The following is a 15,029-nucleotide window of genomic DNA, read 5'->3' on the forward strand; positions in this document are numbered from 1 at the left end:
ACTCCATCTTTATTTATTTATATTTTGGTTGTATCTCTTTGTATAGTTTTCATAGTGGTTGCCATTAATATTATAATGATATACACATGTGACTTATGGCAGACAATTTATTGGTATCAGCATTTAACTTTCCTACTTTCAAATATCACTGTTTTTAGCATCAGATGATTATATTTTGTTTCAGTCATCAAATATGATTTACAAAACTCATGAAGAAAATGATAATGTAAAGATTAATTTTATGTGTCAACTTGACTGGGTCACTGGATGTTCAGATATTTGGTTACACATTATTCTGCGTATTTCTTCCTGCCTCACTGCCTTCCACCTGTGACATTAGTTTCTTTTCCTGCCTTCAGACTCAAATTGAAACATCAGCTCCTCTTGGGTCTTGAGCCAGCCAGTCCTCAGACTAGAACTATACCATCAATTCTTCTGAATCTCATGTTTTTTGGACTTATGCTGGAATAACACCATTGGCTGTCCTGGGTCTTCAGATTTCCTACAGATCTTGAAAATTGGAGGCCTCCATAATTGTGTGAGCTAATTCCTTTCTCCTACTGGTTCTGCTTCTCTGGAGAACCCTACTACAGGTAGTTTATTATGTACCATATTTCTATTCTTTCCATTGTTCTTTCTTCTTTCCTTCTCAAAGCTCCAAGATTCATTTTCATTTCCTTTCTAGTTGAAAATTTTCCTTTAGCCAATATTTAAGTATAAACCTGCTAATGATAATTTATGCTGCCTAGTACAAACTCCAACTCATGTGATGATAGATATTTAATTTCAGGCAGTATGGAGTGACTTTCCCCAGAGCTGCATCCAGATTTGGGGTGGGTTGAGGAGGGTACTTATGGGCTTACATGGTTCCAGGGCTCAGGTAGCAGTGTTTATGGCCTGGCTGTCACTTCTGCACATGGACATCTGCTGAGGCATGTTTATTTCTGTCTGATATTTAGTCATTAGTTCATGCAGGAACTGTGAGGTATTTCTTTGCTGTGGTACATGTAAAATATTGTCCTGCCACTGTCCCAGTCTAACAGAAAAGACTATGTCCCTGTGGTTCCCAGGTTCAACCAGCAGCTTCTGTACTCCCTAAACCCATAAGAAATTATGAGACAGCCTCAGGTCCATCTGCCCACCCTTGCTAGGGGCCAGGAACACCAGGATCTTACTGCCTTTGTGGACCCTGTGAGACAAAGAAACTCACAACTACTTTTTCCTTTCTGGAAGCCAAGACCCATCTGCGGTTTCTGTTATTTCCACTTACCCCTTGGAACTGGATGGGGAAAGCATTAGGGATCTTTTATATGCAAACTAAGTTACCTCAGCTCTTTTTGCTTCCCCTTTGAGTCTCTCTTTCACCGCCCAGAGTATTCATAAAACATTTGGCTAGGGAGACACTGCTGGGAAAAGGATTTTGCTGCTACTTTTCACAAGTCCCTTGCTCACTTTGGTACATTGATCACACACACACACACACACACACACACACACACACAGCAGACTGGTTTCAGGTACACTCTAAGAATCTTCCTGTTGTTCTAAAGCTCAGATCTAAAAGTTCTGTAAATACCCTGAATACTAAATTTGGCAGAAGAACTTCCAGTGGTTAGGGGTCAGCCACCTTTTATTACTAGAAACAAGTCTCAACCATCACCCTGTGGACCCAATTCCCATCGATGCCAACTCCAACACTACAAAACCGACCCAGAAGAGGGGAAGTCACCTCTTAAATTAACAGTTCTTGGGAAGAACATCTACTACCACATATTTTTCTCTGTGGGCATGAAATGGGCTTCGATTTTCTTCCCTGTGTTTGTTCTCTGGGGCTGTTGTAACAAAGTACTATAAACTAGTGGCTTACACTACAGAAATTTATCATCTTATAGTTCTAGAGGCTAGAAGTATAAAAAATCAATGTGTTACTTGGGTTGGTTCCTTCTGAGGGCTGTGAGGGAAGGATCTATTCTAGGGCTCTCTCCTTGGCTTGTAGATGGCTGTCTTCTCCCTGTATCTCTTCTCACATCATCTTCCCTCTCTGTGCATATCTGTCTCTGTGTCCGAATTTCCGTTTTTTTGTAAGGTTATCAGTCATATTGGATTACAGCCCATCCTAATGACTTCATTTTAACTTAATTACCTCTGTAAAGACCCTAGCTCTAAATAAGGTCATATTCTGAGGTACTGGGGGTTAGAATTCCAATATATTTTTTTGTGTGTGTGTGAAGAAACACAATTCAACCCACAATATTCTCTGAAGCCAAGTGATGGGCAAAAAAGGAAGACTGGCATTTTGTTTCTTATTTAGGCGCTTGCTTTGTCAGTGGGCTTGCCAGCCTCCCCTGTGTTACCTGAGCAGGAAAGAAAAGCCCCCCGCAGTCCACTCCACCTGTACTTGCCTGGGCCCCAGCAGTTCCAGGTTTTCAAGAGGAATGTTCATTCTCAGATGGATTCTGACCTCAATCCCCCAGCATTGAGGCATATGAGAACAGACGACACAATCTTGCCAGGACTAACACAGTGTGGAAGAAAGAGGCACATACAGTCAAGGAATGAAGGCTTCTGCTAACAACTATGAGTAAGCTGGAAGATGCAGCTATCTCACAAGGGACTCTCAATGCCTAAGGGACAATCTGGGGGATCCCTTCATCCACAGGGTCTGTTAAGACGATGTATGTCCCACAGAGACAGCCAAAATAGTAGTCATCAATTAAGAACAGCATTGCCACCTTGCAGAGGCTGTAAGGTAAGGTAAACCTCCGCCTTTCTATCCTTCTATGGTTTCCCACCACTAGGCTGAAGAGCAGGCTGAGGCAGGGGGAGGGTAGAAGCTCATGTGCCCAGCCCTCCACTCTAAGTTCTAGAGTCCATCTAGACAAATCTTAATTTGGCAATAAAATGATGTTTTTATAAATAGAACCGAATCTTCTAAATCAAAGAATCTTTCTGAATACACAAAAGTGAGAAGTTATGAGTTGAGAGAGTGTTAAGAGAGTTGCTACCCAGCAGGAAACACAAATTTGATAGATCAAAAGTGAGGAAAGTGACCAAAAAAAATGAAATGATGTCAGGCTTGAACCTCATTCAGTGGAGGCTCTAAACAGTAGATAGTGTACGCATGCACACATGATAGCACTAGGTATATTCCGCTTTAGTTCCTGCTGTTTCACTTAGCATTATATCCTGGACAATTTCCTCTATCATGAGATATTCTTCAGAAATATAATTTTTAATGACTATGGTATTTATAGACATTTACACCATAACAGATGTAATTCAAACTTTTACTCAGGCTATGTGTGCTCTAACTTAGGTATCAGTTTTGAACCTAACACTAAATATATATATAATATTATTAATAATATAATATTATATATTTTATATATATATTTTGCTTTTTGAGATGGAGTCTCGCTCTATTGCTCAGGCTGGAGCACAGTGGCGTGATCTCAGCTCAATGCAACCTCTACCTCCTGGGTTCAAGTGATTTTCCTGCCTCAGACTCCTGAGTAGCTGGGATTACAGGTGTGTGCCACCACACCTGACTAAATTTTGTAATTTTAGTAGATACAGGGTTTCACCATGTTGCCCAGGAGGGTCTTGAACTCCTGACCTCAAGCGATCTGCCTGCCTTGGCCTCCCAAAGTGCTGGGATTACAGGCGTGAGCCACTGCGCCCGGCCATAACATTAACTATATTTTTAATATATAACTATAGGTAAATGAATACACCTTGGAATAATTATAATAAATAGAAAATGGAAAAATAATTTTTCTACTATTATAAGTGTGTACCTTAAATGCTGTAAGCCCCTTTACTTTCTTTCACAGCATGTTAAATATTGACTTAAGAAAACAATTTAATGAAATTAAATCATCAACTGAGTAAAAAGTAGTTAGATTTGGCTTGAAATATAAAAATAATTTATTTACAACACACCAAGAACCATGTAACAGCACTGAGTGAAATTCCAACAAATGTTTTCTCTGTATCATCTCACTTCAAGCTGGGGCCTCATTACAGAGCAAACCCTTGCTAGAGTAGAATTTGGAGCTCTTCCCCCACATTTGGGAGGAGGCTTATCTTGGCCTCCCACCTCAAACCTTGGGAGGAAGACTGTCTTTTGTAGAAATCTTCACCATGGATAACAATAAATTTCACATTTTTCTTTAATTCTGTCACAGTGAAGATACCCAGTGACCAGCAATGTGGAAGAGGAGGGGCTGCCCAAGGATAAGATAAAGGATTTGAAAGATTGTTTAGAATTCAGGGCAGAGGCAGAAATGCAAAAATTCCTGAGCTTCTGCTTCTATCCAGCCCACAAGGAAAGGGTGAGAGGCAAGTGAAAGCGATGGATGATGGTGCTGGATTTCAGAGGGAAGCCTTGTTGGTTTTGGCAATGCCTGTTCCTATTGTTAGAACACCCAGCACACTGCTGGCAACTCTCTAAAAGAATATGACAAGTTTAACATGCAAGATTAATGCTCCTCTCCTGCATCACAGGATGTTATAAATAAAGCTGTAGCTTTTTATATACTATCAAGTGGTATGCCACCCAATAGAAAGCAGATAAAGGAAACCCAGGAAAGCTAATTTTAAGAGAGGGAAAAAATGACATCACTGATGCATTTTAAACACATTTCAAAATACATTCAGAAGTGTTCACACATTGTGGGGATACAGGAAGTCTCTGGACCCATATACAAATTGTGCATATGTGTGTATGTGTGTGTGCCAGTGTGTATGTCAGTGGGTGTAACAAATATTTCGAGAGGTGACAAACAGCTCATGTATTTTACCTGTAGGAGAAAGAGTACATGTTATCATGGTAGCCCAGTTTTAAGGTAAAAATTAAGTCTTGTTCTAAATCCTTCATTTTCCAGACCAGGACCATCTCTCCCCGCAGCACATGGAACCCGGGACCCTGCCTCCTACCTGTGCTGCTGTTGCTGCTGGGGCTGGCCTGGGCGGGTGGTGGGGGCTGCCCATCACTCAGCTGCTTCACTCGTTTGCGGTGGGATTTGCCGTTGGAATGCACCTGAGCCTGGGCTGCAGAGTTCAGCTGGATGTTGCACACCTCACAGAAGGAGAAAAGAATTTTCTTTTTCTCTTTGCTCAACTGGTCCTCAGGCCTGTCGTTCTTTATCCCCTTTTCTTCAAAGCCCCGTAGAAAATTTGCCATATTCATGATTCCATCTTCAAGATGGTTGTCAGGGCTTAAGGAGTACCTCATGCCTGAAAAACAAAACAAGTACAAGTGCTTCTGAAATGATATATGCCTTATTTTCTAGTATGATTACAATTAATCTTTAAGGGTTTGTTTAAGCTAAAAGTTGCCCAGCTACCCAGTGGTTACTACTAGAAAAAAAATCATCAAAAGTACCTAAGTAAGCAAGTATGGTCTTTGAATGTGAGTTCCTTGTGCCTGGGGGTTTTTGAACAGAAGTTCCTTTCACCTGGAGCACTTTATACCCCATCCTTGCCCCTCTTCCCATCACCTCCCACCCTCTTTACTCTCTTAACTTCCCACCCATGAGATCTCAGCTGGCAAATTACCTTCCTCATGAAACCCTTTCTGACCCTGGACACAAGGCAAGATCTGGTTATATGCTCACATAGTGCTATGTGACACCTATCAGAGTATGCATTTCTTAGGCAATTGTGCAATTACTTGGCTTATGTCTGTCTCCCCATTACAGTATGAGCTCTATGAGGACAGTCACCTCGTCTCTGGATATCCCTTAGGCCTACAACTGCACCTGTTACATAATAGGCATTCAAATTTTATTGAAGAAAGGAATAAATGATGTCATGAATCTGGAATTGTGAAAATATTCATGTGTAGACACAAATATATATACAATCAGCATACACCTGGGCATATACAAACAGATACATGCCTTAACTGCAGGGCAGGTAACAAAGAACAAAATACTGTATGCCTGCAACTTACATTGGGTTGTGTTCTAAAAGTCCCTTTATAAGTCAGCTGACAGGAATTTGGACATATTTTCTTATTCTTGTAGTGAAACAAACTGTTTTTCGGTTTCCAGGTTAGCCCATAAACATCAATTTAATATTTGATGGAGTTGAAATGTAGAACATCTGAAATACAAAATAATATAAAATTTTAGTAAACTGGTAATTGAAAAGGAATGAAATAGAATAAGAAATAATTTTTTATATTTTTAAGTGTTGATGTTTTCTTCGTTTGTTTAGATAAGAGTACAGACGTAGATTATAAACTAAGGGAAGATTCGAAAGGGATTTTCAGTACTTTGAGACCCTTGGTTGATGAAGATTGCCTTGCCATTTTATTTTTTTCAGTGCCATTTTATGTAATTTTTCATTTTAGTTAATACCAGGAATACCAGCATTTTCAAAATTATCAGTGGGATTATAACAATATTTTGGTTTACAATTCGAATAAATAAAAAGACACTTCCCAAAAAGAAAGGGGAGGGGAATTTGGCAAAAATTAAGGGAAAGGGGTATGTGTGGGAAAGAATGGCTGAGGTGGCAGTGCTGTGCCATAAGAGATGAGGGGTTTATATGAAGGAAGGATCATGGCTTGTAAGGGACTTCTTATAGAACAAACTCAGGGGGAATGCAAGGTATTGGCTTTCAACAGTCCTTTTGATCCAAGTTGTCTCAGAGCTCTAAGAAAAGGAAGGAGCTACTAGAGACAAGACCCTATCTGGAGTGTTCACAAGCAGGATGTTTAAAATTCGGAAAAGGTATGACCATAAAACCAGATATTGATTCTAATGTATAGTATGCCAAAAAATCTCCTTGTTTATACCCATACATCCAATTGTGAAGGTTGTCTGAACACTGTTAATTTTGATATGCAAAACCTACTTGTCCCTTTTAATACTTTAACCTGATAATGCCATTTTAAAGAACTCTCATACACAAAATTTTCCAAGTCAATCTATTCCTTTTAGCTCCTGCCTTAAAATCTGCTCAAACTATGCAGAAATCAGGTTTAAGCAGTTCCTGTAGCTAAGCTACAGAAAATAATTCAGCTATAATTGAAATGGGGTTTGAACTGCACATAAATATTTTTGCTTTTATTCTTTAAACCTAAGATATTATGTTATCACAAAGTCACTTTTCTCATACACCTTAAGAAAATATCAGTGCCATATTAGTTATGTTCAAATATCTATATCTTCTCTTAAAATATTAAAACATATCATAAGAATTAGTTGAAATAAGTAAGTGATTTTTAAAATAAGCTCATTACTAACATTTTGCACTATCTAGAAAACTAATCCACTGTGAAACATAAGAAAAGCCAATAACGTTTAACCTTGCAGAACGAGGCCAGGCACCATCGTACTCAATCATTGAAACCTAAGCTTATATTTCAACTCAAGGAAGCAAGATCCTTGACTCAGAGGAGAACTGTTGACACTTTCATCTGAAAATTTAACCTGGAGGTGCCCAGGCTTGTCCATATTGCAGATTAACACACGGTATTTCATAGACACAAGACACACATTATAATGTTCCTATGACTTTTTTGTTTGCATTACCTTATTAAAAATAAAGCCATGTTACCTGTGCTTTTATGATTGCCATTTATCCTGGAAATTATTCTACTTTTGATTTATTTAAATATACATATTTTAAGTAGGAAGAAAGATATCTTCCATAAAAAATAAATGGCTCTTCTAGAATTCTGTAACCTCTTCAGAGTACCAGCATCCTCCATAACTTTTCAACCCTATTTTACCTTCTCCAAGAGTTATTCTCACAAGTGGTCTCCCAAACCTCCAACACCGCATTCATGGGCCACTCTAGAAAAGACCCAATGCCTGGGGGTGGGGTATGCATTCTGTTCACCAAATCCCAATTTATTAGTCCTAGTTCTGGCTTCACACTTCCCTCTTTCTCAGGGGAAAAATAAGATCAGCTTCTGTTAACAGCCACTTGCAACCAAAGTATATTTAGCTGCAGAGGTCTTGGGAAAATGACCTAGAGGTGGCAGAGAGGCAAGATATCAGAGTCTCAGCATCCACTTTTGGCCTGAGATGATATAATTTCTAGGCTTATAATATGTGTGAATGTGATAACATTTATAATGTCAGCTTTCTTGCTAAGGGGAAACTAACAGTGAGTTTAAATGGAAGAAGAGAGAAAAATCTCACTTTCTATTTTAAATTTTTTCATCAGACTATCTTAATTACATGTTTCACTTGAGTGGGAGAGAAGGACCTTCGGGGGTGTCTGATTTTAAACAGAGCAGTGGGCAGCACTGTGCTTTGGACTGCCAGGAATGAGTGTAAGAAAAGTCAGGACAACTGAACCAAAAACTCTATGCTTTTTTTTGTATTATTTTACCAGATTAGATGACCAACAACTTAACATTCATAAGAGAATAAGACATTTTAGTGCAGGCAAAAGAATGAGAAAATGTTGGTCCTTGAGTTGCTGCTTTTGGAGGAAAGAGCTGATGAATTCAAACTGGACAGTCAGGGAATTTCCACAGGAGTGATTTTAAATCACTAGGATGCAATCCGTCAGGAAATTTTCCAATGTTACAACTTTCCCTAGGATTTTCCCTGACCTGCATTGTTATCCAATTGTTTTCTATAATAATTTGAAAAAAAAAGGAAACTGATCCAGAGGTAAAGACATCTCTGTTGCATATGTACAGCAATACATTCTTTGACTCAAGAGTGGCCACATCAGATGGAGAACAAGAAACTGCCTCCCTTCTATGTAAGTGTGAAAAGGCTCATTCCTCAACTCAAGTCAATCGGTTTTATCCACTTCCCATTCATTCCTTAACCCCTAACAACTTGGCTTGCAACTCCTTTCCACAGGTAGTGCTTGTCTTTGCAAAGTCACTATAAACACTTCTAATTGCCAATTCCAAGATGGCAGTTTCCTTCCTCCCCACTTTTCCTGATGTCCTCGTGATGCTCCCTCGCTCGAGTCTCTTCTCACCTCTGCACTCCTGAGGCATTGTGTTCACAAAGTTAGCACAACACACAATTCTTATATTATTGGTTTAATTATTTATATAGTTTTATGACATATATATGGTTTTACTTATTGACTCACTCATTTCAGTATATTGTTACAGAATAGGTAGGCAGAGGGCAAGACGCCAGGGAGAAAACAGTGAACACGGTCAAGGAGATGTCTCAGGGGACCAAACAATCCAATGAGAAATACAGAGGAGAAAACAAGAAATTACAATAAACTACAATAAATTCTTTGGAAAGGTATACATTTTCCTCCCTTGCTAGTTTTCAAGCTCCTTGAGTATAAAAACTATGTTTTATTCATCTTTGTATCCTCAGCATCTAAGATTGTGTTTTGTATAAAATAGGCACTTAATAAATGTTGGCTGAATAAATGAATGGCTGTATTTGTGTGGGAGGGTTTAAGGTGAGCGGGATGGGAGGTGAGTGTGATGTGTGTGTATATGTGCTTTATGTGTTTGTGGTCTGTGGTACATGTGATGTGTGGTTTGCGTGTGGGGTGTGTGTGGTATGTGCGGGGGTGTATAGGTGTGGAGTGTGTGTGATATGTGTGTGGTTTGTGTATGGTATATGTGACTGTGATGTGTATGAATGTGGTGTGCATGGGGTATGTAGTATATGTAGTGTGTGTGTGGTCTGTGTGTGGGATGTACGGGGAGTGTAGGGGATATGTGGGTATAGTGGAGGGTGTGTGTGTGTGGTATATGTGGCATGTGTAATATGTGTGTGGTATGGGCATGGGTGTATACGTGTGTAGCACTGGTTGTGAACACAGTAACCAAGGTCAATGTTTTCTTTTTTTTGTTTGTTTTAAGATGGAGTCTCGCTCTGTCGCCCAGGCTGGAGTGTAGTGGTGCCATCTTGGCTCATTGCAACCTCTGCCTCCTGGGTTCAAGCAATTCTCCTTCCTCAGCCTCCTGAGTAACTGGGACTACAGGGGCACACCACCACGCCCAGCTAATTTTTGTATTCTTAGTAGAGACAGGGTTTCAACGTTGGCCAGGATGGTCTTGATCTCCTGACCTTGTGATCCACCTGCCTCAGCCTCCCAAAGTGCTGGGATTACAAGTGTGAGCCACCGCACCCGGCCAAGGTCAATGTTTTCTAATTATTTTAGCTTGTATGTGGGCTAAGCCCACAGCTGTTTGCATTTTGAGATCAGGAATGGTAATAACGGTGTGCTCCCCAAGGAAAAAGTATCATCACTCATCTGCAAACTAAAATCCCAACTGTTTAGGACAGTCTTTCATCTTGTAATTAAAAATAAGGCTTAAAGTTCAAATTCTGACAAAACATGGGTATATTGTGTCAGCATCCATGTGACATTAGCCCTTTCCTGCAACCAACTTTCTCAGGAAATGGAACACTGGGTATTGTGGGAAAGTTTGGGGAATACTTTCTGAAGATTAAAACACATAGATGGAGAAGATATAGGGCTCTGGCATTGCTTTTTACCCATTTAACTATGTTGAAATGCCTTGTACTGCCTCCTGATCTTCTGCTGCAAAGGGAGGCAAAAAGTTGAGTTCTGAGTACCAGATTATACACAATTCCTTTCCCCAAAATAGAGTTTCAGAGAAAACTAAAAGGTCAGTAGAGAGGGTTCATTTCATTGAATGTTTTGGTATATTTCATAATAGGATTCAGATATGGAAGGCTATATTTGATCCAATTCAACTAATCATTTATTAAACACTGATTATAGACAATATGCTATACTTGGCCCTATGGTAAAAGAAATGTATAAAATTAAGAACCTTAAAAAATAAAAAGCTTGTAATAAACCAGAAGAGGCAATCCTTCTGCTACTCATTGTTTAGGAAAGTGACTGTGGAGAACTCTCTGCATAACAGTCCCCAAAATACTTTGAACTTCTTACATTGGAATGAAATTATTCCTTAGCAATTGATTTCACTAGACAGTTCATTGGTCTCATTTTTTTCCCCAAGTACTTACTGGCACTTTATTGAGTGCTAGTGAAATAGATTTTAATTGGGGTGCTCTGGTCTAGTGTGAATCCCAAGAGATTGGGATTATTTGACATCAATGGCTGAGTCAGAAAAACTGACATTTAAATGTTTCTAGCAGTTTGTTTCCCTTGGGGAAAAATTTTGAACTCAGCTTTGGAGGCACACTGCTTCTTTATTTTGGAAAAAGCATCTTAGAGGATCTTCGTATTATGTGAAGGTAAAGCATAGACTCTATTCTGTAATGGAGACTCTGGAGATAATATAGCTCCAAGGAACTTAAACTGCTTTCCACAATCATATGAAAGGTTGTCTTCACTGTGACACAGCTGCTTCTCTGCAAATTATCTTTTCTTTCATAAAATATTTCTTTCCTGCAAGTGGATTTAAATTGTATCGTCCCTGAAAGTTTTTGTTAGATACTGGGAGATGAATGTGTTCAAGCAGTTAACTACAGGAGATCAGTGGAGACTGGAAGCTGCAAGAACATGACCACATCTTACCTCTGAAAGAACAGCCTGGAACTGTTGAAGCTCAAACTGGACTATATTGCATGAACCTCATATTTGGGGTCATTCCTGATTGAATAAACCCAACTTTGGAGAAAGCAGTGATGTTGTTCTGAATTATCCTAAGAACTAAAGAGAAAGATCACACCTCTGTGGATGGGTGCGAGAAGGAAGAGATGTTTTCACTGTCAGTCTTACCAGAAGATTGACAGGGGGCAGGAAATGGACACTGAGAGGTATGAGACTATGACTGTCTCTGGGCCTGAGGGAACAGGAGGCCTAGGATCTAGACATGTGAATCTTGTTCCAGGCATTCCTGCTGTGGAAGGGTAAGCTGACCCTTGAAATGGGGTGACAGGCCTGAGACTGGGCAGAGAAGACTTTGCACAATACAAAACACCTAAGGAGGGTTTTAGTCCATGAACTCAGGGAACCCCCATATCTATTTACAATTGTTGAATTATCCTCTTGTATAACATCCCGCACCTTTTAAAAAAATCTTCAAACCATAACTGTGAAGTCATGCAAACATCACAGTTGGTCTTCCTATTAGTGGGGGAATTGTGCAAGAGTCTGGGATGGCATCTGGGGTGAAAGCCATATATGGGAGAGTAGGAGCAATGGGCTGAGGGATGCTCGTGACCAACAACAAGGAAGGCAGTGGTCCAAAGCTACACAGCTGGTTAAGATGTTGAACAACAACTGGCTTGGGATATCTCAGGGGCTCAAAAAATGTTCAGGGCGGGAAAACTGATAAAACATTGGAATTCTTGCAGCTAGTAGGGGAGATATTTGAACTATTTTTTGAATTAGGTAATATGATGGGCAAACAGGCTGGGACATTTATGTTACCTAAATGTAAAGAAGATAAGTTTACTTTATTCTCACTTATTATTGTAGATCCAAAGCCAATCAGATGTCTAGCACTTAGAAGGTTCTCCATAAATCTTTGACAAAATAAAATAAGTGCTATGATTAATTCAGCTACAGTTCAGCTTCAGCCAAAAGCTGATAGTTAATTTGTTCCTGGCCTTCAGAAGACCCAACTGTTTAATGTCTATGTAAATCAGTATCTTTTCTGGCATACTTGATCATCAAAGTATCTCAAGTTATGATCATATACAAATAGCGTAATGATGTCAATAATGAGAACAAGGAATGGATTTTATTTTTAATGCAAGAATATCAATTGTATATGTGTATTTCAGATAAAACTAGAATTGAAAGTACTAATTTATGCTTATGACATTGAGACTCTATCAGTAGAAGGAAAAATATTTCTTCTTACAAACATAAAATGTCACAATAATTAACATGAAAGCTATTAATTTCATGAAAAAACAATTACAAAAATTCTTAATTAGTTAAATAGAAAAATAAATTGACAGCTAAATGTAGCACTAGCTAAATAACTATGGACAAAACATATACATACTTTGAAATACACATATCTATAAACAAATACTATTAGGATGGAAATCAGATTATACTATAACTAATATTTGTAATGATAATAAATAAATACTTAAGCACTATATTTTTTAATTTCATGATGGCATTAACTTTTCTAGGAAAAAAGGAATCTATTTGAGAATTATTCTCATCTTTTAAAGATGAATTAAAAGCAAAAGACCAGCTTTGCTACCTCTAAATAAATTATTACCTCAAAGAGATAATTAAGTAATACTTAACTCATAATACAAGTTTTACTTCCTTATATCAAGAGGTTTTTTTTTTTTTTTCTTTTTGGGATGGATGCTTGCTCCGCTGCCCAGGCTGGCAGGCAGTGGCACGATCTCGGCACACTGCAACCTCTGCCTCCTGGGTTCAAGCAATTCTCCCGCCTCAGCCTCATGAGTAGCTGGAATTACAGGCATGTGCCACCATGCCCGGCTAATTTTTGTATTTTTAGTAGAGACGGCTTCACCATGTTGTCTGGGCTGGTCTCAAACACCTGACCTCAAGTGATCTGCCCACCTCAGCCTCCCTGTCAAGAGGTTTTTTTTAATCATAGAATTGGGCTTTATTCTTAGTCAAATATTGATTTTAACACTTAGCTTTTGGTATTCAACCAAAATGTGTATACGGTATACCTCTAGCTATGAGAAAGAACAATCTTTATTGGCTGGGCTCCATAGTCTTCTTTATATGAGGAAGTCTAGATTCCATTCTCCATCTGCCCTGCATGGCACTGCTGTGCAGCATGAAACAGCAGCAGAGCACAAGACAGCAAACTGCAAAACATAACCAACATAAAAACCTGGGCAAGGGCAGATCTCGCAGCTCTGTTCCTCCCACTACGACTGCCAGGGCTGGAATGTAACCATAAACACTTTTCTAAGAGGGTCCAGGAAGCACTCCAGCAAGTCAACAGCTGAGTCTTCCTGGGAGGTGGGACCGAGCTCTACCTGCTATGGAACATTCTAGGGGTGGAAGGCAACATAGGCAATTGAATGGATGGATTCCTACAAGACAGACCCATCCATCAAAGAAGTAATATTTTCAGTTCTTTGAATTCTCATGTCATCTTTACAAGTTTACAAACAAGAATGGTATTCTCTGGATTTTGTTTTGTGGGAAAGTACAGGTAGAGTCAAAGAGAACACATTACATAGCTTAGTATTATTTCCAGTCATAATTTCCATGTAGTCCATCTAGACACATTTTTGAAATTATTGCATTTTTATTTATTATAAAAATAATTTTTATCATTCTAGAAATTTTGGAAAATACAAACAACATAAAAAAGATTGGAGAAAAATCTTCCATATTCCTACCAAAGTGAACCACAGTTTGTTACATGTGCATAACAACAACAAAAAAAGGTGAACCACAAACATTACATGTTTACTTCTGGTCTTTTTCATTTATAATTGATACATAATAATCATTCATGTTTATTTCTAGCCTTTTAAACATGCATATGATTTTCACAGAGTTCTGGTTAAACAACACAGACTTGCCAAGGGTTGAAATACATAAACGTATTGGGGCTGAGCTCTTAAATTGATTATATTTACCTACAATTTCATCAATTTCATTAACAAGAAGTTGATGTTCTTTTTTCCTCTGGTATAGATCAAATGCAGCTATAACCAGTATTCTAAAAAACACAGTGCTGTAACAGGGGTTGCCTTGGTCAGGGCAGTCAGACAAGATGTGATGATGATGAAACCAAGAGCTAAAGAATGAAGAGCAGTAGAGGGAAAAACACTGCAGGCAAAGGAGATCCTATGTGCACAGGTCCGGAAGCAAGACGAAAGATGGCAGATGTGACAAACTAAAAGCAGCCCAGTTCATCTAGAGCAGAGAGAGCAGGGCAGAATGAGATGTGAAATAAAGCTGCAGAGCAGAGCAGGGCCTGGTTGGTCATGCAGGCCTTTGCAGGCAATGTGAGCTGTCAGTCTAGGGAAAGTGCAGAAGTGCCTTAAACTGGGGGCCTGATATGATCAGATTTCAGCTGTGAAAAAAATCACAACTGGATTCAAAAACAGGGTGCAGAGTAGAGAGGGTGTCATGTGGATGTGGACAAGTTCAGGACTATTACAATT

The 15,029-nt window shown here is 39.1% G+C and overlaps 1 protein-coding gene across 10 annotated transcripts in view; it reads right to left on the minus strand.

Annotated features, from left to right (window-relative positions):
• ZNF385B (zinc finger protein 385B) overlaps nucleotides 1-15,029 on the minus strand; it is a 419,631-nt gene that overhangs the window by 322,583 nt on the left and 82,019 nt on the right. For all 10 annotated transcript variants that reach the window (NR_148057.2, NR_148054.2, NR_148056.2 and 7 more), the window contains 2 exons: nucleotides 5,957-6,108; nucleotides 4,939-5,238 (listed from right to left, as the gene is read on the minus strand). Coding sequence is in view for 6 of the 10 variants with exons in the window: in NM_152520.6 (NP_689733.4) it covers nucleotides 4,939-5,236 (298 nt within the window). In the remaining 4 variants the exon portion in view is untranslated. The remainder of the gene's footprint in view (nucleotides 1-4,938; nucleotides 5,239-5,956; nucleotides 6,109-15,029) is intronic.

Source organism: Homo sapiens, chromosome 2 (genome assembly GCF_000001405.40).
Source record: "Homo sapiens chromosome 2, GRCh38.p14 Primary Assembly".
Taxonomy (NCBI): domain Eukaryota; kingdom Metazoa; phylum Chordata; class Mammalia; order Primates; family Hominidae; genus Homo; species Homo sapiens.